At 52.5% G+C, this 23,159-nt stretch overlaps 2 protein-coding genes across 14 annotated transcripts, besides 4 other annotated features; one reads left to right on the forward strand and one right to left on the reverse strand.

The window, feature by feature from the left end:
• Window positions 1-10,042: 10,042 nt before the first annotated feature.
• On the reverse strand, window positions 10,043-13,795 carry ALYREF (Aly/REF export factor). 2 transcript variants are annotated; one of them, NR_158770.1, is made up of 7 exons: window positions 13,531-13,795; window positions 12,897-13,028; window positions 11,390-11,537; window positions 11,084-11,197; window positions 10,728-10,791; window positions 10,449-10,626; window positions 10,043-10,353 (listed from the first exon to the last, which is right to left on the reverse strand). NR_158770.1 is itself a non-coding variant. In NM_005782.4 (6 exons), exons 1-6 carry the CDS (start codon window positions 13,786-13,788, stop codon window positions 10,339-10,341), a joined length of 795 nt encoding a protein of 264 aa, NP_005773.3. In that variant the 5' UTR covers window positions 13,789-13,794; the 3' UTR covers window positions 10,043-10,338. The 2 variants fall into 2 exon arrangements, 1 of the variants encoding a protein (NP_005773.3); NM_005782.4 differs by lacking the exon at window positions 11,084-11,197 and having other exon boundaries at window positions 13,531-13,794.
• Window positions 10,613-11,812: an enhancer, noted in NCBI's record as "CDK7 strongly-dependent group 2 enhancer chr17:79846281-79847480 (GRCh37/hg19 assembly coordinates)". NCBI's record gives its function as "activates an origin of replication core promoter dependent on BRD2, BRD4, P300/CBP, MED14 and CDK7 cofactors, with strong dependence on CDK7, by STARR-seq in HCT116 cells {active_cell/tissue: HCT116}" and the evidence as "EXISTENCE:reporter gene assay evidence [ECO:0000049][PMID:35650434]".
• Window positions 11,616-11,780: a silencer, noted in NCBI's record as "fragment chr17:79847284-79847448 (GRCh37/hg19 assembly coordinates)". NCBI's record gives its function as "represses an EF-1alpha promoter that drives an FKBP-Casp9 reporter gene in an ReSE screen in phorbol 12-myristate 13-acetate-treated (for megakaryocytic differentiation) K562 erythroleukemia cells {active_cell/tissue: K562(+PMA)}" and the evidence as "EXISTENCE:reporter gene assay evidence [ECO:0000049][PMID:32094911]".
• Window positions 12,998-22,741, forward strand: ANAPC11 (anaphase promoting complex subunit 11). 12 transcript variants are annotated; one of them, NM_001289417.1, is made up of 5 exons: window positions 13,921-14,049; window positions 15,312-15,395; window positions 15,760-15,822; window positions 16,675-16,794; window positions 22,128-22,741. In NM_001289417.1, the coding sequence occupies exons 4-5, from the start codon at window positions 16,686-16,688 to the stop codon at window positions 22,271-22,273; spliced, it is 255 nt and encodes an 84-aa protein (NP_001276346.1). In that variant the 5' UTR covers window positions 13,921-14,049; window positions 15,312-15,395; window positions 15,760-15,822; window positions 16,675-16,685; the 3' UTR covers window positions 22,274-22,741. The 12 variants fall into 12 exon arrangements, with proteins under 12 accessions (NP_001276343.1, NP_001276346.1, NP_057560.8 ...); NM_001289420.1 differs by lacking the exons at window positions 13,921-14,049; window positions 15,312-15,395 and adding exons at window positions 14,135-14,314; window positions 21,450-21,535; NM_001289414.1 differs by lacking the exons at window positions 13,921-14,049; window positions 15,312-15,395 and adding an exon at window positions 12,998-13,059.
• Window positions 13,811-14,350: a silencer, noted in NCBI's record as "silent region_9161". NCBI's record gives its function as "represses an Ori minimal core promoter by ATAC-STARR-seq in GM12878 lymphoblastoid cells {active_cell/tissue: GM12878}" and the evidence as "EXISTENCE:reporter gene assay evidence [ECO:0000049][PMID:35858748]".
• Window positions 15,231-15,446: a silencer, noted in NCBI's record as "fragment chr17:79850899-79851114 (GRCh37/hg19 assembly coordinates)". NCBI's record gives its function as "represses an EF-1alpha promoter that drives an FKBP-Casp9 reporter gene in an ReSE screen in HepG2 liver carcinoma cells {active_cell/tissue: HepG2}" and the evidence as "EXISTENCE:reporter gene assay evidence [ECO:0000049][PMID:32094911]".
• Window positions 22,742-23,159: the final 418 nt, after the last annotated feature.

Consider the following 23,159-nt stretch of genomic DNA (forward strand, 5'->3'; position numbering starts at 1 on the left):
TGGTGCCACCCAGGCGTCCAGGAGCCAGTGTGTTTTGCTGACAATGTCCTGTGTTCTGGATTTGCTGGGCTGAACCCTCCAGGTGTCCTGTGAACCCTCTCCCATCCTCTGCACTTCTTAGGCAGGATGAGCCCAGTTCGAGTTTTAGAGGCGGTGCTGGGGGCCTCCTGCTGCTTCACGTCATTGGACTTGTCTTCTGGTCCTACCTGTAGTGAGGTATGGTTGGTTCTGGGAAGCTGGGCTGGTCCACCCATTATCAGTGGCCTCCTCAACTGTCATCTTCAATTTTCACTGTTTCTCACATGCATCATTTTATTGGACACTTCAAAGTGGTGATTTTCTAATTTTGGGTGTGTTTTTTTTTTTTTTTTTTGAGAGAGTCTTGCTCTTTTGCCCAGGCTGGAGTGCAGTGGCGCACTCTCGGCTCACTGCAACCTCCACCTCCTGAGTTCAAGTGATTCTCATGCCTCGGCCTCCCAAAGTGCTGGAGTTACAGGCATGAGCCACCGTGCCTGGCCTGATTTTCTAATTATTTCTGTATTTCTTAGCTGGAATTATTTCTTTTTTTTTTAAAGGACCCCGTCATCAATTGTTGCCCCAAAATTATAGAGTTCATACAGAAAAGACAAATTAAATGCCCGATTCTTTCCTTTTATTTGCCAATTTTTATGAGTCAGTGCCTTACAACTTCCAAAGGTAAACATGAGGCTTCTTTCCTTAAGCATCATCATGAACTCTTAGATGTTCATTTATTCAACACAAACTAAAAAAGGAATGTTAAGTCTTAAGATATCATTAATACTAACTTGCATTACTTGTTTATGAAGGATTAATATACTAAATAGAATATATGCTCACATTTTTATATGTAGATATTAATTTACAAGTAATTAACATGCTAAAACATTTTATAATTCGCTTCAATAACGTGTATAGATAACACAAAAATTAACTCTGGCCTACCTTAGGCTACATGATCACAGACAAGCTGATGTAATTAAAATGAGAAGATTTATTTCTTGGTACTTTCATGGCTTTATTTTTACATTAAAGTCTTTTATGATGTATTATTTATTGCTATCTTCCACCAAATGCTTGGCCAGTCAATCCCAGGGTGATCTTAATAATAACAACTAATACATGTAAACCATAAACATTTATGAAAATTATATATCCTCATATAAATTTCATAACATATGTAAGTTACAAAAGAAAGAAAAAGTCAACGAGGATATGGGGGAAGCCAAAAGGAATACAAACTAACAAATGAACCTAACTATGTACAAATTATGCAAATCACATAATTTGCAGGAGGTGGAAAGAAAGAAAAGAACTCATCTAGGCAACTTTTGAAACCAGTACTTAGATGCTACAGGTCAAACACAAAAACAACAGTACACGATTAAGGAAGTAAGGTGCCTCCATAGTGACTGCGCCTCCCTGGGGCACAGGTTGAACAGTTCACCTACAGCACTGACATGGCCTAAGCGAATGTCCTGTCAATCTGAGAGCCAGGTTTCTCCCTGTCACAGGAAGAAACTACACATAAGGAAAGGGGCAGGTGAGACAGGAACAGCAGGAACTAGACAGCTACAGAAACCAACAGGGCGGGTAAATGCACAAGCACGTGTCATAGATCCACTTCCCAGCTCTGTCCCAGGAGGGCCCAGAAGCAACAAGCACAGCCAGTGCCCAGGTCTTGGTTGCTAAATCCCAGTCTCCAGTGAGGGAGGGCTCCCTGGAGAAGCAGCTGGGTGCAGAGCTGGGACAAGGAAAACTGAAGACATCCCAAAATAAACAAGTGCTTAAATAAGGATAGGGCACAGGAGACAATCTCCAGGAGCTCCCAATGGCCAAAGCGTGGAAACAGTATCAGATTATGACTCACAGAATCCAACAAACAGCCCTTGCGTTCATACTGATATATAAAGAAAGAAATCGTAGGTCAGGCGCAGTGGCTCATGCCTTTTGGGAGGCCAAGGCGGGCGGATCACTTGAGCTCGAAAATTTGAGACCAGCCTGAGCAACATGGGTAAACCCCATCTCTACAAAAAATACAAAAAGTCAGCTGGGCATGGTGGTGAGCACCTGTGGTTCTGGTTACTCAGGAGGCTGAGATGGGAGATCACGTGAGCCCGGGAGGTCGAGGCTGCAGTGAGCCGTGATCGAGCCACTGCACTGCAGCCTGAGCCGCAGAGCAAGACCCTGTCTCAAAAAAAAAAAAGGGAAAAAAGCTGAAGGGACTGCTCTTTCTTAGAGATGAATTCCAATTAATAAACGTCAAAGGAATGAGGAAAATGCAAAAATCACCTTTGAAAACTAAGTTAATAATTACTGCATTGCAAGACCCACCAGTGGATGCTGAAATTAATTAGTGGGTAGGCCGGGCACGGTGGCTCACGCCTGTAATCCTAGCACCTTGGGAGGCTGAGGCAGGTGGACTGCCTGAGCTCAGGAGTTGGAGACCAGCCTGGGCAACACGGTGAAACCCCGTCTCTACTAAAAATAAAAAAAATTACCTGGGCATGGTGGCGCGTGCCTGTAATCCCAGCTACTTGGGAGGCTGAGACGGGGGAATTGCTTGAACCTGGGAGGCGGAGGTTGCAGTGAGCTGAGATGGCGCCATTGCACTACAGCCTCGGCAAAAGTGAGACTCCATCTCAAAAAAAAAAAAAAAAGTGGGTAAAACTTGGAAGTGAAACAGACATTCACTTAGTCTGGAAGTATCTCCCCAAGGTATTTATGGATGACAAAGGGAAAACAGTAACTATGTAGGGGAGAAGCCCCGGCAGCCGCTGCCACCACCTGAACTAACAGGACCAGGAGTTGGACAGACTGACATTGCATATCTCCACTATGCATTGAGAAGATGACATCCCAGCTGTGGTATTCATGCCAAAAAATAAAATAAACCAGCAGGGCGTGGTGGCTCAGGCCTGTAATCCCAGCACTTTTGGGAGGCCAAGGCGGATGGATCATGAGGTCAGGAGTTCAAGACCAGCCTGGCCAGCATGGTGAAACCTTGTCTCTAATAAAAATACAATAATTAGCCGGGTGTGGTGGCGGGTGCCTAAAATCCCAGCTACTCAGGAGGCTGAGGAAGGAGAATCGCTTGAACCTGGGAGGCAGAGATTGCAGTGAGCTGAGATCACACCACCGCACTCCAGCTTAGAAGACAGAGAAAGACTCCGTCTCAAAAAAAAAAAAAAAAACAAAAAACAAAACCTTGTCCAGTCATAAGGTCAGAGTCCCCAGTGTGAGGGACATTCTACAAAATAGCTGAGAGTACCCTTTAAAAGTGTCAAGGTCATAAAAGACAAAAGCTTCTATAAATCTGAATATAAAAATAACACTTCAGAAAATTCATAAATAGAGAAATAGGCTGACATTAATAGGCTATGTTCGGTGTGGTGGCTCAGGCCTGTAATTCCAACACTTTGGGAGACCAAGGCAGGAGGATCCCTGGAGCACAAGAGTTCAAGACCAACCTGGGCAACATAGTGAGACCCCATCTATACAAAGTTTTAAAAATCAGCCAGGCGCGGTGGTGGGTGTCTGTAGTCCCAGCTACTAAGGAGGCTGAGGTGGGAGATCCCTTGATCCCGGGAGTTCCAGGATGCAGTGAGCTGTGTTTGCGCCACTGCACTCTAGCCTGGACATCAGAGGGAGACCTTGTCTCAAAACACAATTTTTCAAAAATTTAGTTTTTTAAAAAAGATATTGAGATGCTACAATGTCCATTTCAGGAAGAATATCATAGCACTTTTGAGACAAGTTTCTTTTTTTTTTTGAGACACAGTCTCGCTCTGTCACCCAGGCTGGAGTGCAGTGGTGCAATCTTGGCTCACTGCAAGCTCCGCCTCCTGGGTTCACGCCATTCTCCTGCCTCAGCCTCCCCAGTAGCTGGGACTACAGGGGCCCGCCACCACGCCTGGCTAATTTTTTGTATTTATAGTAGAGACGGGGTTTCACCATGTTAGCCAGGATGGTCTCGATCTCCTGACTTTGTGATCTGCCTGCCTCAGCCTCTCAATGTGCCGGGATTACAGGCGTGAGCCACTGCGCCCAGCCTGAGACAAGTTTTTCTACAAAATGTAATGACATTAAGGTAATATGAAGAGACATGATCCTCATCTTTATGTAACTGGAGTTCAGGTATTCATTACGCTCAACAATATCAACCTTTTATGATGCTATTTTGTTGAATGTGATGAATGCCACTGATAATAGGACATTTAATTCCATTTAGAATATCTGTATTTCCAAGTAAAGTCCTAAATCTGCCAGGGTGGAGATTTATCCATGGTAAAGTCTATTCAATCCAGATATAAAAAAGATAGAGATTGAGGGCCAGGCGCGGTGGCTCACACCTGTAATCCCAGCACTTTGGGAGGCCGAGGTGGGCGGATCACAAGGTCAGGAGATCAAGACCAGCCTGGCCAACATGGTGAGACCCTGTCTCTACTAAAAATACAAAAATTAGCTGGGCATGGCGGCACGTGCCTGTAATCCCAGCCACTTGGGAGGCTGAAGCAGAAGAATTGCTTGAACGGGGACCCGGGAGGCAGAGGCTGTTGTGAGCTGAGATTGCACCACTGCACTCCAGCCTGGGCTACAGAGCGAGACTCTGTCTCAAAAAAAAAAAAAAAAAAAAAAAAAAAGAGAGATTAAAGACATTTAAAAAAAAGATTACAAAGAAGAAACTGCAAAGCAAAATCACAATGAGATATTACTTCACACCCAGTAGGATGACTAAACTAAAAAAGGTAAGTGTTGGTGAGAATGTGGAGAAATTGGAACCCTCATACATTGCTGGTAGAAATATAAAATGCTGCAGCTGCTTTGGAAAAGTCTGGCAGTTCCTCAAAAAATTAAACAGTTACCTCATGACCCGGCAATTCTACTCGAGAATTGAAAAGATGTTAATATAAAATGTATACAAAAATGTTCACAGCAGCATTATTCTTATAAAGCCACGGAGTGGAGACAACCCAAATGTCCATGAACAGATGGACAAAAAAAAAATATGCGGTATATCCATGTCAGTAGTCGGCCATAAAAAGGAACAGTCTTAGACATGGTACAGCACAGATGCACCTTAAAAATGCTGGCTGGGGACAGGCGCAGTGGCTCACACCTGTAATCCCAGCACTTTGGGAGGCTGAGGCGGGCAGATCACGAGGTCAGGAGATAGAGACCATCCTGGCTAACAAGGTGGAACCCCATCTCTACTAAAAATACAAAAAACTAGCTGGGCATGGTGGCTGCTGCCTGTAGTCCCAGCTACTCAGGAGGCTGAGGCAGGAGATTGGCAAGAACCCAGGAGGCGGAGCTTGCAGTGAGCCGAGATCGCGCCACTGCACTCCATCCTGGGCAACAGAGCAAGACTCTGCTTCAAAAAAAAAAAAAAAAAGAAAAAGAAAAAAAAAATAACCGGGCAAGGTGGCAGGTACCTGTAATCCCAGCTACTTGGGAGACTGAGGCAGGAGAATTGCTTGAACCCAGGAGGCGGAGGTTGCAGTGAGCCGAGATTGCGCCATGGCACTCCAGCCCAAGTGACAAGAGTGAAACTCCATCTCAAAAAAAAAAAAAAAAGAAAATAAAAAAACTTGCTGGGCGTGGTGGCATGTGCCTGTGGTCCCAGCTACTTGGGAGGCTGAGGTGGGAAGATTGCTTGAGCCCAGGAGTTTGCATTTACAGTAAGCTATGATTGAGCTACCACACTCCAGCCTAGAGAGCAAGACCCTGTCTCTTGAAAAAAGAAACCCGGTCGGGCGCGGTGGCTCACGCCTGTATTCCCAGCACTTTGGGAGGCCGAGGGGGGCGGATCACGAGGTCAGGAGATCGAGACCATCCTGGTGACCACGGTGAAACCCCGTCTCTACTAAAAATACAAAAAATTAAGCCGGGCGTGGTGGCGGGCGCCTGTAGTCCCAGCTACTCGGGAGGCTGAGGCAGGAGAATGGCGTGAACCTGGGAGGCGGAGCTTGCAGTGAGTGGAGATTGCGCCACTGCACTCCAGCCTGTGTGACAGAGGAAGACTCCGTCTCAAAAAAACAAAAACAAAAAAAACCATAGGCTGGGCGCAGTGGCTCATGCCTGTAATCCCAGCACTTTGGGAGGCCCAGCTGGGCGGATCATGAGGTCAGGAGATCGAGACCATCCTGGCTAACCCGGTGAAACCCCATCTCTACTAAAAATACGAAAAACTAGCTGGGCATGGTGGCGGGTGCCTGTAGTCCCAGCTACTCAGGAGGCTGAGGCAGGAGAATCGATTCAACCCGGGAGGCGGAGGTTGCAGTGAGGTGAAATCATGCCACCACACACGTCTGGGAAACAGGAACGAAACTCCATCTCAAAAGAAAAAAACAAAAAACGAAAAAACAACCTCTAAAATGAAAGACTGTATCCCTAGATTGCTGAGAGGTAAATGAAATGTATGTAGAACATCCAGCAGAGGTGCAGCCTCAGACACTGGCTGACCATTTGTGCAACCTGAGAGAGGCGTGCTCTTGCAGCTTGAGTTCCAACCATGCCCCACACTCCACTCCCATTAGGCTACACTGCAACCTATCACTTGTATGTTTCCTATATTAGACCATCAGTTCACTGCATGTTAAGAACCAAAAGTTACCATTTACATGACAACTCTGTTGCCAGGTACAGACATAGCCATCTCATGAGATCTAAAAGGATGTCTGAGAGCAACACTGTAGCCCTTTAACCCACGTGAGGCTGAACAGGATTCAATCAGCTGCCCAGTGTAGACTGCTCCTTAGATCTCCGTGCACACCAGCCAGAAACCAGAGCACTGTGGGAGCGTGTGCACGCTCACATCCGAGACCCTCTCCAGGGACCTCAGGCTGAAGACGGAGCTGGGCAGACCATGAGCCACCCTGGAAGAGCTCCAAGTCCCACAGGAATGCTGCCTCTCCTGCCCGGGGCTGGCCAGTTCCTACTCTCAGCCCATGCCGGCCAGGGAAAGGGACCAGGAAGAACAGGGCTTCCCTTTTCTCCCCACCCTGAGTGTAATTTCGCTTGTCGACACTTAAGTCATGTGTCCAACCTGGGCCAATCCCTGTGCTTTCTTTTTTTGCCCCGAGATGGAGTTGTGCTCTTTTTCACCCAGGCTGGAGTGCGATGGCGCGATCTCGGCTCACTGCAACCTCCACCTCCTGGGTTCAAGCGATTCTCCTGCCTCAGCCTCCGGAGTAGCTGGGATTACAGGTGCATGGCACCATGGAACCACAGGACAGCCAGAGGCAGAGGGGGTTCCCCAAGTGCCCATGGGGCACAGGCTGCCAGTTCAGTTTGTCAGCCATAGCTCGCTGTCTGAGCAAAGCATCACTCAGTCACCATGTGGGGGGCAGCAGGGCACTGGGCAGTGTGGAGTGTCCGCCCTGCAAGGCCCTGTGCCCGGAGGACTGGCAGCACCCTTCAAGAGGGGACCAGACAGCCCAGCTGGCCAAGGCCTCATGTCTACTTGCTGTCTGTGCAGTCAGTGGAAGAGCCCTGCTCTTCTTTCTCTCACAAGCACCCTGCTGGAACAATAAATTAAATAGTCCTCTGGCCTTGGAAGTAAAATAAGGTTTTGTGTTTTATGAATAAGGAAATGAAGATTGGGTATGATGAGGCTCAGCCCAGCTACCTGACCTGCTGCCCACCAGAAGCCCCGGTGGCTTCCAGACCCAGCCTCTATCCTAGTTATAAATGGCCAGCCCCACCTCCACCACAGGCACAGAATCAGGTCATTCTCCTTTGACCACTCGGCAGCACCTGCCTCAATGACCCCACCACTGGCCCCCCAGCAAATACCAGCTGTTGCTTCTATGACATCATTCTCTCTACTTCCTTTACCTCCAACCCTCCCAAGACCATGCCACATATGGACACGACTTCGACGTGTCCACGTGCTATCAGCTGACAAACTGGAGAGGTCCGGCTCTAGGCAACGCTCTCCTGCGGGCCAGCTGGTGCCTCTGCCCAGCCTGTCCAATGCTGACGCCCCTCAGCTGGCTCCTTCCTGGGGCCTTCTCTCCAGTGACACCTACCCACCCAGTTCCCCAAGGCCTCATATTACTTCATTCCCATGCCCCTCACTCCCGAGAATGCCAGGAAGTCCCAAATCCTGGTCATTCCTCCCTCCAAATGCCTGTTACACCACTACTGCACAACCAAAGCAATGCTGCTTGTCAGTCCTGTCATTTGTCACACCCTGCAGGGGCTGACCACACCAGTCCATCAGGTGCCCTCTCCACTTCCTAAGCAGCAGGGAGCCAGTCCTAGCACGGCCCCAGAGAGCAGACCCCCTGCCTGGCATGGGCCTGCTCAGGCCTTGCTCCAACACCGAGGCCCGGGCCAAGGGCACCTGCTTGGGGATAACCTGACTCTAACTCACTGCACTGGTGACATTTTCTGTCACATTCACAGCGACTACAGCTGGGGACTTAGTAATCCTTTCTCCTGCTAGACTGGGCTTCTGGAAGGGCCAAGATTAGTCATCCTGTTCATCTGGGTTCCTAGACTGTGGCCCTGGCTGGCATTGGGCAAGCTGCTTAGATGGCAGCTGCTGATCTGTAGTGACATCTGTGACCGACAGCGAAAGAACCACCCTTAGTCACACTCCCTTGCCCATGACTCAGCCAGGCCCATCCCAGCGTGGAAGCAAGCTTAGCCTGGGATGTGTGCCCGCAGGAGCCGCTGGTGCAGGGAAAGGTTTCTGCAGACACGGCATGCATTCCTGTCTGTCTCTCCACTACCACTGCCCACTGCCCTGGGCTTCCTTACATCCCAGCTGTGGGACAGTGGGGTCAGGCAGAACTCTGGAGCTCCCTTGTCCCCCTTCCCATCTCATTCTCAAAGTGCTGTCACCAACCCAGCATCAGGGGGCACAAGGCTCTCTCTCCACTGCCCAGCTTGGAGTGCAGTGGCATGATAATGGCTCACAGCAGCCTCAACCTCCAGGGCTCAAGCGATCCTCCCACCTCAGCCTTTAGAATAGCTGAGACCACAGGAGCACGCCACCACACTCAGCTAACTTTTGTATTTTTAGTAGAGATAGGGTTTTGCCATGTTGCCTAGGCTGGTCTCGAACTTCTGGGCTCAAGAGATCCTTCTGCCCTGACCTCCCAAAGTGCTGGGATTACAGGTATCAGGCGTTGCCCTACTCCTTTTTGAGACGGAGTTCACTCTTGTTGTCCAGACTGGAGTGCAATGGCACAATCTCGGCTCACTGCAACCTCCACCTCCCTGGTTCAGGCGATTCTCCAGCCTCAGCCTCCCAAGTAGCTGGGATTACAGGCATGCACCACCACACCCAGCTAATTTTGTATTTTTAGTAGAGACGGGGTTTCGCCATGTTGGCCAGGCTGGTCTTGAACTCCTGACCTCAGGTGATCTGCCTGCCCCAGCCTCCCAAAGTGCTGGGATTACAGGCGTGAGCCACCGCGCCCAGCCGCCCCACTCTTAAATGGACGGATTATCACAGCTTCCACCAGCCACTTCATCAAATATACAACTAAGAGAGGATCCTCATGCCTTGCTCCGTGGCAAGGTTAAAAACAACAACAAAAAAACAAACAGAAAAAGGAATTACACTACAAAGTCAAAACTGCTGAATCCACGTTTCTCTGAAAACCAGAGTACAAGAAGGAAAGGAACAGCCCAGAGATGTTCTGGCTGTGGGAAGCCTGTGGACGGCACACAGGGCAGCCATCCCACCCCAACCTCCCCTCACCTGGAGGCACAGGCACAAGGGTCAACAGGTGGCTCCCGGGCAAAGGTGTCCTCCCACCTGGTGAGTTAGAGAGGAAGGTGTTAGGTGTGAGGCAGGAAAGAAGATAAGAAAGAAGACAGGCAGCTTCGGCCCTCCAGGAGCGGGGACCCCCCGCCACCCCCACAACCCATGCCAACTTCAGGTGTCCAACACCAGATGGGGCTGCTCCCTCCATCCCCAACTCAGGTTCTCCCACCCCCTCCCAGCTGGACAGACACCAAAATCCTGGCCCAGGCCTGGACTCCAACAGTGGGACGAATCAAACAGTTCCAGTTCTACACACATTTCTATTTTATTATGGAAAAGGTGGAAACGCCACCTTCTCCACAACAGCAACCAGTAAAATTTATCCCAAAAATAACTCGGTACAAAACAGGTCTGTTTCAGAATTAAAAAAAAAAAAAAAGAAAAAAAAAAAACCTTTACATGAGTTTTTAAATCCTATTTTAAAACATAAAAGAAACAAATCCATCATTGGCCGCACAGCCCCAGCCACCGCCCCCCAACCAGGGAGCAAGAGGAGACGCCTGGGTCCTGTTCCGCACGCGGATTTGCTGGTCTGTTTAACTGGTGTCCATCTGAAACACAGAGGAGAAAGAGGCTTGCATTCACAGGCGGCCTGCTCCCCACTGCGGCTTTGACCAGGCCCCCAGCTGGCTCCCCCGGGACTCACTCTCGCATTATAGGCGTCCAGCTGGGCATCCAGCTCCTCTGCCGAAAGCTGCTGCTTTGAATTCCTGCCGGCACCTCTGCCTCTTCCACGGGCGCCTCCGCGGGTGCCTCTCCGGGTGCCTCCACCACCACCAAAACCTCCAGCGCCACGGTTTCTAGTCATGCCACCTCTGTTTACGCTAGCAAGGAAGACGAAACCGTTCACACACCCGGAAGGACCCTAAGAGCGACGCAGCCTCACCCTCGGCCAATCCCCTTCCCCAGAGGCCCCGGAAGTCACCTCTGTGCAGGCCTCCGCTGTGCGTCAATCTGTGACGTGACAAGCTGAATGTTCATGGGGCGGCCTGCGGCAAAGAATACGAGAAGGCACGTTCTATTGAGAGGCTCTGAAACCCACCCAGCTGGCGCCACACCCTGGTCTCCATGCAAACACTGGAAAGGGCCTCTGTGCGTCTCAAATGCCCCCGACAAGGGAAATGGCCTGGAGATACTGGTGGGAGAACAAAATGGCAAGGAAGCAACCCCACCAACACCTCCTCACTCCTTCTCAGTCCAGACTAGGTGGGCTGCTCGCTGAGGTATCGGGGTGCTCGTGGGTGGAGAGGTGTGGGTGACCTGACGAAGAAGAACCGGTACCTTTGTCTTTACGACTACAGCCCCGCACTCAGAGGTGTACTATGGCGGTTCTGAGAAGGCTTCACAGAAGTGAATCTTCCGGAAGGAGCTGAAGGAGGGGAGGGATGTAGCTTGCTGGATGGGGGTTCACAAGAGGTTGGTCCAGATGTGTGGGGCAGCATGAGAGGTGGCAGATGGAAGAGAGAGACAAAGGGGCAAATGCAAAGTGTCCTCAGCCACAGGGGTACCCCATATTCCTACCTGGACAGGTGCCAGCCCCAAACTCCACAAGCCCCACAGTCAGCGTGGGTCCACCCCCAGACTCACCATCCAGAGGGACGCCGTTGTACTGCTTCATGGCCTTCAGGGCATCTGCCTTCCGCTCAAAGTGCACGTCTGCTGTTCCTAAGCTGCGACCAGAGCGATCATAGTGCACAGCCGCCTTCTTCAGCGTTCCAAATTCAGCAAAGAGTTCCTGGGAGTTGCAGAGAGCAGTTGTCAGAAAAGCAACAAAACTGCGTTCCTTCTGGTGGCCCAGGGACAGGCCCTGGAAGCGTGAGTTGCTTTGGGGGTGGTTCTCTGGGAGGCAGGACAGTGGTTAACGGGAAATGAGGGAAGGGCGGGGCAGGAGGGACAGCAACTTCCAAGAGCACCTGGGTCTGAGGGCTCCTGCCATTGTGGGGACCTGACACGTGTACCACGATGCAGGTAGAGGAAGCTGCAAAGCCCACTAGCAACGGGCACAAAATTAAGCCACTATCCTCTTCAACAAAGGAAAATGTACAACACACCCAAGGGCTGTTCCAAGAAACGGTAAAGGCCAAAATCAAGAGCAAGGGAAGCAGTCCGATATCAGACCAGCTTGAAGGGCCTGTAGATTCGGGAGCCCTGACCCCAGCCCCTCCCCCAAAGGCAGATTCTGGCTCACCTTTCCCTCTCCTCCTACTCAAGCCTGCGGCAAAGTCTGAAGTCAAGCGCTGTCATGGAAACTGCCCTGACCTCAGGCAGGCTGGGAGTTGGAGAGGGAACCCAGAGTGTGGGGATACTCCGGCCGCAGGCACACAGCGGGAACTGGAGTTCACCAAAAGCGGTTTCCAGTGGATGCTAGAAACCACCTTAAAAAAAGTGTTGAGACACTGTGAGTGCTCACTGGCCCTACTCTGTCCTCCCAAGGCAAATGGCTGGGCTGTGGGCAACTGAACCCTGCCCAGCCATCTCCAAAACTGATTCCCAAAAAGTCATTTCTTAACCAGAAAACAAGTTGAAATGCCATTGGGATTCAATTTTTCTTTTTTTAAAAAAGAAAAGCTTCAACCAAAGATGGATTTGAGAGTCATGTCACTGACGGGACACGGCGGTGGGGAGTGATAAAACCACAGCGTACAAGGTCTTTATAAGACAGTACTCAAGGCAAACAGAGCCAGAAAAACAGACTCCCTGTGCTTCACAAGATACATAAAGAAGATTCTTTTTCTCACATTAACCCACTAAGACAGGCACAAAATTTAAAAAGCAACTGGGCTGGGTCTAACAGCCAAAAACCACTCACATTTGGTCAGTCTTTGTCCCTGTTAGAAACTGGAAGCCCTGGCAGGGGATTTTCACTCACAGAACCCATCTTCAGACTAACAGCAGCAGTTCCTCAGGCTCAGCTAGGCTCGCACCTGCCTGCGCACTGACCCCGGCTTTACTAGCACTGGGTCTGTCCTGCAGCCCTTCAGAGCTGGGAGGGCTCCCTTCGCTAAGGCGGGAAGGGGACTCAGGGCCACATCCCCAAAATCACGATCCGTCCTGTGCAGGGCGAACGGCTCACCGAGAAGCCCTCGTCTCTTACCTGAATATCGGCGTCTGAGACTCCAAAATCCAGATTGGACACCAGCAGTTTCCCACCTGTCTCCACGCCGGCACCACCGCCGAAGCCACTGTCGAAAAGATCGTGCTGCCACTTGTCGGGAAGTTGTTTTGGCTGAAAAAAAAACCGCAACAAGAGCAGATCTGTGAGTCTCAGTCCAGGGCTTTCCTGACCCTCACGGCTACTCCGGACCCTTCCTCTTCCCGGCCTGAGAGGATCCGGCCGAAACGGGGCCGCCAGCGCTCCCTCCGGCGCTGCAGCTGCCCCAGCCCGAGGCCGCACGGTCCCACCGCGGCCGCACAACTTCAGTTCCCTTAGACTAACTTCCCGCCGCCTGTGCCGCGCCCAGCGTCCCCTCCTCTCCTGCCACGAGGCCCCAACGTCCGGAACAAACAAAGAGCTGGGAAGGGTCTCAGCCTCCGGGACCGGACCCCGAAAGAACGACCTCGCTCCCGCCCACCACCCCCTCCGCGCCCACACGCACCCTCCGGACCTCCGGGCGGCCGCTCCACCAGCCTTATCCACCCGCCGGCCCGGGTCTCCGCCGCGAGCGGCCCCGGCCCCAGCCCCGGCTGGCCCCCTCCCACTCTCCGGCGCGGCCGGCCTCCGCACTCACCCTGCTGTAGGGCGCCGGTCGGTTCCTGCCGCCTCCGCCGGCCGCGCCGCGGGCGATGGCCGGCCGGTTCCGGATGGGCCCGCCGCCTCGATTCACTCGCGCGGCGGCCTGCGCCCCACCGCCGCGGCCGCCCTGGGAGCCGGCCCGGCCGCGGCCCCGGCCCCCGCCCCGGCCGCCTCGCTGGCTCCGGTTCAGTTTAATGATGTCGTCCAGAGACATGTCCATTTTGTCGGCCATGGCGGGCGCGGAATCGGGCATCGGCTCGAGCCCGCGCGTCAGCACGCCGGCACGTCACTTCCGGCGCCGCGTGAGGCCTTCCGGTGCCACGGCCTCGGAGCGGCTGCTGATTGGCCGCTGGCGGACGGCTGCGCGCGCGGGACGGGGTGAGGCGGGGAGGCGCGTGCGCACTGGCGTGCGAGACTCGGCGGGCGCTGTTGAGGGAGTCGGGCCGCGACTGTGGTCGTTTTTATACCTTCCCGCGCGGACGCCGGCGCTGCCAACGGAAGGGCGGGTAGGGCGGTGCGTGATTAGGTTGGCGAAGGTGCGAGGGCGCAGGGGGTGGGGCGGCGGCCGTTGGAGGCGGAGCCTACGCGCCCCTCCCTCCCCGCACGCTCCGCCCGATCGGCCAGGGCTGGGGGCGCTGGGGGCGCTACGGGCGCGGCGGGTGCCTGGGAGCTGCTGGGAGTCCTTGTTTCCGCTCCCGCCCAGGACTGTGCGCTCGGCTCGCGGTGGGGTCCGGCGGGCGCGGCTTCGGCGGGCGGCAGCCGCTGCAGACGAGCTGCGGGTTGGTTTTTTGGTCTCCACCTGCAGCCCCCCCAAGTCTGCACTGTCACATTTTGCCAGTCATATCCTTTACAAGTTTTCTTGCGGGCCGGGCGCGGGCCTCACGCCTGTAATCCCAGCACTTTGGGAGGCCGAGGCAAGAGGTTCGCTTCAGCCCAGGAGTTTGAGACCAGCCGGGGCAACATCGTGAGACCCCCATCTCTAAAAAAAAAAATGAGCTGGGCATGGTGGTGCACTTCTGTACTACCAGCTACTTGGGAGGCCGAGGTGGGAGGATTGCTTGAGCCCAGGAGGTCGAGGCTGCAGTGAGCCGTGGTGGCACCACTGCACTCCAGCCTGGGCGACAGAGCCAGACCCTGTCTCCAAAAAAAAATTATTTTTGCAACTTATTAATGAAAACCAGTGTGCCATTTCATTGATTTTTTTTTTTTTTTTTTGAGGCAGTCTCATTCTGTCGCCCAGGCTGGAGTGCAGTGGGGCGATCTCGGCTCACTGCAACCTCTGCCTCCTGGGTTCAAGCGAGTCTCCAGCGGCAGCCTCCCGAGTAGCTGGGACTACAGGCACGTGCCACCATACCTGGCTAATGTTTGTATTTTTAATAGAGACAGGGTTTCGCCATGTTGGCCAGGGTGGTCTTGAACTCCTGACCTCAGATGATCCGCCCGCCTTGGCCTCCCAAAGTGCTGGGATTACAGGCATGAGCCACCACACCCAGCCCATTTCATGGATTTTAAGTTGTTTTGAGATACTTGCTTTTGTTTTTGTTTTTTGAGTCAGGGTCTCCCTCCGTCACCCAGAGTGGAGTGCAGTGGTGTGATCTTGGCTCACTGCAGCCTCAAACTCCTGGGCTCGAGCTATCCTCCCACGTCAGCCTCTCAGGCAGCTGGTGCACGCCACCACAGCTGGCTTTTTTTTTTTTTTTTGAGACAGTCCCACTATGTTGCCCAGGCTGGAGTGCAGTGGTGCGATCTCGGCTCACTGCAATCTCTGCCTCCCAGGTCCAAGTGATTCCTGTGGCTCAGCTTCCCGAATAGAGCTGGGAGCTGGCGTGATCTCAGCTCGCTGCAACCTCCGCCTCCCAGGTTCAAGTGATTCTCTTGCCTCACCCTCCCGAGTAGCTGGGATTACAGTTGCCCACCACCACACCCGGCTAATTTTTTGTATTTTTAGTAGAGACAGGGTTTCAGTATGTTGGCCAGGCTGGTCTTGAACTCCTGACCTTGTGATCTGCCTGCCTCAGCCTCCCAAAGTGCTGGGATTACAGGCGTGAGCCACTACGCCTGGCCTCTAATTTTTGTTTTTTTGGTAGAGATGGGGTTTCACCATGTTGGCCAGGTTGGTCTCGAACTCCTGACCTCAAGTGATCCACCCTCCTCGGCCTCCCAAAGTGCTGGGATTACAAGCATGAGCCACCACCTGCGGCTAATTTTTTTGTATTTTTTGTAGAGACGGAGTTTCGTCATGTTGGCCAGGCCCATTTGAGATCTTTGAAGATATCCTCAACGTGAGGTAAAACCAAACTCCTGACTGTCCTGTGCTCCCAAATGTGATCTCCTTGTCCGTAAGGAGCTGAGTCCCTTCCCTTGGAGAGAAGAGTGTGCCCTTTCTCTAGATGGCTAAAGAAACCTCACAGATAGTTCTTTTTTTTCCTTTTTTTTTTTTTTTTTTTTTGGTAGAGACTCAGTCTCACTGTGTTACACAGGCTGGTCTCAAACTCCTGAGCTCAGGCGATCCTCCCGAGTTGGCCTCCCAGAGTGCTGGGATCACAGGTGTGAGCCACAAAGCGGATTGCTGCTGGGGCTTGCTGTTCTCCCGTAGCTCCCCTGCAGCCCTGACCCTCTGGGCCCAGAGCCCTTTACTTGTTATTTGTTTTAATAGAAACGGGGCTCATAGCAGGGCATAGGGGTTCACGCCTGTAATCCCAGCACTTTGGGAGGCCGCAGTGGCAGATCGCTTGAGGCCAGGAGTTCAAGACCAGCCTGGCCTACATGGTGAAACCTCGACTACTAAAAATACAAAAATTAGTCGGGCGTGGAGTCACGTGCCTATAGCCTCAGCTACTCAGGAGGCCGAAGCACAAGAAATGAGCTGAGATCATGCCACTGCACTACAGCCTGGGTGACAGAGTGAGACTCTGTCTCAAAAAAAAAAAATTAATAAAAATAAAAGTAAAATAAAATAGAAACAGGGCTCACGATGTTTCCCAGGCTGGGTTCGGACTCCTGGGCCGGTATGATCTTCCTGCCTTGGCCCCCTGAGTAGCTGGGACTGCACTGTGGCAGGCTTATACCTGTGTTGGTGCCTAAACGTTCTAGCTCTGCAGACTCAATTTAGCCAGTCGTCCTGTTCCCTCCGCCGCAGGCTCTGCTGCCATGAAGGTGAAGATTAAGTGCTGGAACGGCGTGGCCACTTGGCTCTGGGTGGCCAACGATGAGAACTGTGGCATCTGCAGGATGGCATTTAACGGATGCTGCCCTGACTGTGAGTGTCCCCTCCATGCTGTCTGAGCGGCCCCGACTGTGAGTGTCCCCTCTGTGCTGTCTGCTGCCTGCTGGACTAGCCTCAGTAGCTCCTGTTAAATACCTGCACGAAATACCCAGTTTCATTTTCTTTTTTTTTTTTTTTTTTTGAGACCGAGTTTCGATCTTGTTTCCCAGGCTGGAGTGCAATGGCGCGATCTCGGCTTGCCGCAACCTCTGCCTCCCGGGTTCAAACGGTTCTCCTGCCTCAGCCTTCCAAGCAGCTGGGATTACAGGCATGTGCCACCATGCTGGGCTAATTTTTTTATTTTTAGTAGAGACGGGGTTTTGCCTTGTTGGCTAGGCTGGCCTTGAACTCCTGACCTCAGGTGACCTGCCCGCTTCAGCCTTCCAAAGTGCTGGGATTACAGGTGTGAGCCACTTTGCCTGGCCCACATTTTTATTTTCTTTTCTTTCTTTCTTTTCTTTTTTTTTTTTTTTTTTTTTGAGATGGAGTTTCACTCTTGTTGCCCAGGCTGGAGTGCAATGGCGCGATCTCGGCTCACTGCAACCTCCGCCTCCTGGGCTCAAGCGATTCTCCTGCCTCAGCCTTCCAAGTACCTGGGATCACAGGCATGTGCCACTACACCCGGCTAATTTTGTATTTTTTAGTAGAGACAGGCTTTCTCCATGTTAGGCTGGTCTCGAACTGTCAACCTCAGGTGATCCACCCGCCTCAGCCTCCCAAAGGGATGGGATTACAGGCGCGAACCACCGTGCCCCCCCCAACATTTTCATTTTCATCTCATGAAGAAAAGTTGATAGAAAAAAAGCCAGGTGGTTGGTACCCATGTTTATATAAAGATCCTGTCACAGACTCCATAGGATGAAACTCAGCTGTGAAATACGTGGGATTAAAAAGAGATTAGAGTCTGGGCGGGCAGATCACAAGGTCAAGAGATGGAGGCCGGCATGGCGGCCCACGCCTGTTATTCCAGCACTGTGGGAGGCCGAGGCGGGCGGATCACAAGGTCAAGAGATGGAGGCCGGCACGGTGGCTCACACCTGTCATCCTAGCACTGTGGGAGGCCAAGGTAGGCAGATCACAGGGTCAAGAGATCAAGGCAGGGTGTGGTGGCCCACACTTGTCATCCCAGCACTGTGGGAGGCTGAAGTGGATGGATCTCAAGGTCAGGAGATTGAGACCATCCTGGCCAACATAGTGAAACGCCATCTCTACTAAAAATACAAAAATTAGCTGGGTGTGTGGCGTGTGCCTGTAATCCCAGCTACTGGGGAGGCTGAGGCAGGAGAATCTCTTGAGCCTGGGAGACGGGGGTTGCAGTGAGCCAAGAGCAAGACTCCATCTCAAAAAACAAACAAAAAAAAGATTAGTTTAAACTTTTTATTTGAAAATTCTCAAAATTGAATGGCATAGGCCAGGCGCAGTGGCTCACACCTGTAATCCCACCACTTTGGGAGGCCAAGGCAGGCGGATTGCTTCAGGCCAGGTGTTCGAGACCAGCCTGGCCAACATGGCAAAACCCCGACTCTACTAAAAATCCAAAAAAATTAGCCGGGCATGGTGGCAGGTGCCTGTAATCCCAGCACTTTGGGAGGCCGAGGTGGATGGATCACCTGAGGTCAGGAGTTTGAGACCAGCCTGGCCAACATGGTAAAATCCCGTCTCTACTAAAAATACAAAAAAGTAGCCGGGCATGGTGGTGCATGCCTGTAATCCCAGCTACTCAGGAGGCTGAGGCAAAAGAATCGCTTGAACCTGGGAGGCAGATGTTGTGGTGAGCCAAGATCGCACCATTGCACTCCAGCCTGGGCAACAAGAGTGAAACTCCATCTCAAAAAAAAAGAAAAAAAGTGGAAATGTTTGATTATGTTTAGGTTGAAAGCAGAGTTTTGCATCAGCGAAATGGTTTTTCATGAGACCGAAATGAGCGTAAAGCAGAAGCAAGGGTCAAGGTTTTGCCCAGGGAGGACAAGAAGAACTCCCCAGAGGACAGTGGGGAATGGAGAGGACAGTGGGGAATGGGGAGGACCGAGAAGCTACTCACTACCCCAAGTAACCAGGCGTATTTTTGTAGGGCCAGGTGCATGCCCATATTGATTGACAGGGTCTCACTGTGTTGCCCAAGCTGGACGTGAACTCCTGGGCTCCAGCCATCCTACTGTCTCAGCCTCCCAAGTAGCATACCACCACACTCATCTGCCTCCTTTGCTTTTTTTTTTTTTTTTTTTTTTTTTTTTTTTTGAGATAGAGTCTTGCCCTGTTGCTCAGACTGGAGTGCAATGGCACCATCTCAGCTCACCGCAACCCCCACCCTTCTGAGTTCAAAGGATTCTCCGGCCTCAGCCTCCCAAGTAGCTGGGATTACAGGCATGCACCACCACAGCCAGCTAATTTGTTGTATTTTTATTTTTATTTATTTATTTATTTTCGAGACAGAGTCTCACTCTGTCACCAGGGCTGGAGTGCAGTGGCACGATCTTGGCTCACTGCAACTTCCGCCTCCCTAGTTCAAGTGATTCTCCTGCCTCAGCTTTCCGAATAGCTGGGACTACAGGCGCTCGCCGCCATGCCCAGCTAATTTTTGTAGTTTTAACAGAAATGGGGTTTCACCATGTTGGCCAGGATGGTCTCGATCTCTTGACCTCGTGATCCGCCCACCTCAGCCTCCCAAAGTGCTGGGATTACAGGCATGAGCCACTGCGCCCAGCCCTTGTTGTATTTTTAGCAGAGACAGGGTTTCACCATGTTGGCCGGGCTGGTCTTAAAACTCCTGACCTCAGGTGATCCGTCCACCTCGGCCTCCCAAAGTACCAGGATTACAGGTGTGAGCCACTGCACCCGCCCCTGTCTTTGCTTCTTAAGGTGAAATTGAGATGACTGAATCTTAGTACAATTTTTTTTTTTTGAGACAGGGTCTTGCTGTCACCCAGGCGGCAGTGCAGTGTGGCAAAATCATAGCTCACTGTAGCCTTCAATTCCTCAGCTCAAGTGATCCTCCCACCTCCACCTCTCAAGTAGCTGGGACCACAGGCATGCTCCACAATGCCTGGCTAATTTTTTATTTTTTTATTTTTTGTAGAGACAGGGTTTTGCTATGTTGCCAAGGCTAGTCTTGAACTCCTGGGCTCAAGGGATCTGCCTGCCTTGGCATACCAAAGTGCTGGGATTACAGACGTGAGCCACCATGCCTGAACAAAACTACATAAATTTTTAATTTTTTTTGTGGAAATGGAGTCTCACTATGTTTCCCAGGCTGGTCTCAAACTCTTGGCTCTGTCCTGCCACAGCCTCCCAAAGTGCTGGGATTATAGGTGTGGCGCCTGGCCCGTACAAATACTTTTTATTCTAGGCTTAACTTTTACATTGGCCCTAGCTAAATAGAAATCTCATCACTCAGGAATTAATCCTCATTTAATCAAACGGGTAGGGTGTAATCTTAGGAAATTATTGATTGACTCTACCTGATTGGATTTGTAGTTAATAGCTAATTAGGTTAATAACTAAATTCACAAGGCACAGTTTTATTTGATCTCTTTTAAATTGCTCTTAAGGATGTAACAAAGAGTGCGTGGGATGCCCTGAGGGCAGGCATTCGACTTCTGGAGCAGCAGCTTAACTTCTGAAATTCCTCCGAACCATGTGTCCACACCTCGTCTGGCTGCATCCGTGGGCCAGATGTGGGTGGTGAATCCTGTGGATTAGAGGTGGTGCTAGGTAGCCCCCAAGTGACTGCAGTGGTGGGTCCACAGGCAGCCTGCAGAGCCCGCCCTGCAGCATGCCAGCTGGGCCTGTGATGGGGCATCCAGAGGGTGTTGCCCTGAACACTCAGCATGTCTCCGCTGACACAGTGTGCTCAGGCTTTGTTAACATGGGGCCTGTTGGCTGCAGAGACTCAGGAGTTGAGAGTCTAATTTTTGGACCTGCTGATGGTTAAGTCATAGTGAGTCAGTGTTAACGCGCAAAGCGTTTGACGAGTCCAATGTGCTTCCATACTAAGCAGCACCAGGTTTCTTTTGCTAAAATTGAACTCCTGTGAAAAATTCAGAGTGACTAAGTTCATTCAACAAAGACCGTGGGAGCCCGAGGCTGGTAAACAATGAGTCCATCCCGCATCCCAGGGGACTCTGGTGGCAGTGCAGTTTTGCCGAGAGGAGTTTTAATTTAAAAAAATGCAATCAGGAGACCAGCAGGTCCTGGAATGAGTCACCCTCAGTGCATCTGCGGACTCATCAGACACCCCAGGCCGGCTTCGGGTGGGGAATGCACTAGAACGAAGTGACACCTTTGACTAAACGAGGCCTCCCCCGAGTACTCAGAGTGGCCCAGACCCCTCTCCTCAGGGGGCTAGCAGGCTTCAGCTCTCATTTGAAAGGGCCGATATCAAGCAGAGTTGTGCTGAGGCCAGAAACCCCCACGGGCAGGTCCTCCCAGGGCTGGGAGTGGGCATGCCGTGGGGCCGGCGCTGCCAGGACAGGAGGGTGGCCACGAGCTCCAGCTCCACAATGCCAGGCCGACCCTGCCGTGGGGCTGGGGCTGGGACTTGCTGTGCTCTGTTGGCAGCAGCTGTTCCTCAGGGGTTTCCAGGCTCTTGGAGATCAGGGACACTCATTTCTCTTGATCATGGCTGATACAAGCATCCCTCTCTGTGTCAGGTCCTCTCCATGGAGAAAGCATTTCTAGGTGTTTGGGCTGGTGCCCGCAGCCTGTGCCTGTCCTGGGAGGCAGGGCCCATCCACAGGTGCCCATCAACACAGCTTCCCCAACGCCTGGGCAGCACACCGGATCCCTGATGTCTAGGGAAGAGTCTTCTAGGTCCCCAGACCCCACCCCTCCTGCCCTTGATCAAGAGACCAGTTCACTACTCAGATGCACGTCTCCTTGGTGCCTTGACCATTCATGTGACCTTTTTGGCATCACAGATCAAGTGTCTGCAGATGGGCCCAGGGCCTGTAGGTCAGACATTGCCCTTTTTCCCCAGCCTCAAGCACAGGGGACACAGGGTGGGCTAGGCCAGAGCGCCACCTCCTCAGAGAGGCCCCTGGGCTCCCCACTGAGCATGATGAGCCTGGGTGAGGGGAGGCGCCTGCTGCGGTTGCCCCGGGTGGAGGCCGCATGTCCGGTGTCCCTTGGTCATTGCTGGTCTTCGCCTGGGGGCGGGCTGGTCAGGAGACCGATTGGGTAACACTCCTGATTTCGGCTTCTCTGAAACATGAGAGGCTGCAGTGCTGGAGCCACTGCCCAGGGTCCCTACCTGCACCCCTGCCTGGCTTGTCACATGCTCTGTGTCCAGCCTGGTCATGCCTGTCCTTTTCCCCACCTCCCCTCCGTAGGCAAGGTGCCCGGCGACGACTGCCCGCTGGTGTGGGGCCAGTGCTCCCACTGCTTCCACATGCATTGCATCCTCAAGTGGCTGCACGCACAGCAGGTGCAGCAGCACTGCCCCATGTGCCGCCAGGAATGGAAGTTCAAGGAGTGAGGCCCGACCTGGCTCTCGCTGGAGGGGCATCCTGAGACTCCTTCCTCATGCTGGCGCCGATGGCTGCTGGGGACAGCGCCCCTGAGCTGCAACAAGGTGGAAACAAGGGCTGGAGCTGCGTTTGTTTTGCCATCACTATGTTGACACTTTTATCCAATAAGTGAAAACTCATTAAACTACTCAAATCTTGCTGGAGGCCTCTGGGTGCCTGTGTTCTCGGCATATAGATGTGGTCTCGGTGTGTTTTGATATGAAAACTCTCATGAATAAACATCTCCGTGAAACGCCAAGGCCCTCGTCAAACCCTGAGTCATGACTGGGAGGAGAAGGAGCAGGATCAGACGGTAGAGCCTGGGGCATGCTCTTCAGGCATGCTCTTGCCTGCTGGATTGCCGGCGGCGGCCCTGGGACCCTCCCTCAGGCTGGCTCTGAGGGACCCTGGCTGTGCAAAGCTGGCGGCCACTGCTTGTGGCGCCTCCAGACTGAAGGCCACCATCTCTGAGTGGGCGTCCATTGTTCTCACTGGGACTGTCTGCAGCGGGGCTGGGCCTCCCACAGTGTAGGGATCAGTGTCCTGACACTGGGAAGTGTGTCCACACGTCTGAGGCTTCCCTTCCTAGGGAAAGGTGGCCCTGGGAGGCTCCTTTGTGTGCCTCTGCTCCCCACAATCGTGGTGGGAAGGGGCCGCTGGGGGAGTGGCAGCCCCGGCATCTCAGGCTGCTTCTGGACAGAGCACAGGCTGTGTCTCCAGTAACCTAGGGAGCCCTTGGCATTCATGGGGCCAGTGACCCGTGCCCAGTGTCTCTTGACCCTTCCTCACAGCAACCTGAGGAGTAGACCAGGCCTCACCTGAAATCTGTGTCAGGGTTCTCTAGAGAGACAGGAC

The sequence above is a fragment of the Homo sapiens genome, chromosome 17 (assembly GCF_000001405.40).
Source record: "Homo sapiens chromosome 17, GRCh38.p14 Primary Assembly".
Lineage (NCBI taxonomy): Eukaryota > Metazoa > Chordata > Mammalia > Primates > Hominidae > Homo > Homo sapiens.

Excerpts from the sequence above, each read along its gene's own strand:
- ANAPC11 (NM_001002244.2), top strand. The coding sequence starts at position 16,686 with ATGAAGGTGAAGATTAAGTGCTGGAACGGCGTGGCCACTTGGCTCTGG. Across the intron at positions 16,795-21,449 it reads TAACGGATGCTGCCCTGACT|GTCCTCTCCATGGAGAAAGC; the intron begins GTGAGTGTCCCC and ends TCTCTGTGTCAG. Across the intron at positions 21,751-22,127 it reads GATGGGCCCAGGGCCTGTAG|GCAAGGTGCCCGGCGACGAC; the intron begins GTCAGACATTGC and ends TCCCCTCCGTAG.
- ALYREF (NM_005782.4), bottom strand. The coding sequence starts at position 13,788 with ATGCCCGATTCCGCGCCCGCCATGGCCGACAAAATGGACATGTCTCTG. Across the intron at positions 13,029-13,530 it reads GACCGGCGCCCTACAGCAGG|CCAAAACAACTTCCCGACAA; the intron begins GTGAGTGCGGAG and ends TTTTTTTTTCAG. Across the intron at positions 10,792-11,389 it reads CAACGGCGTCCCTCTGGATG|GCCGCCCCATGAACATTCAG; the intron begins GTGAGTCTGGGG and ends TCTTTGCCGCAG.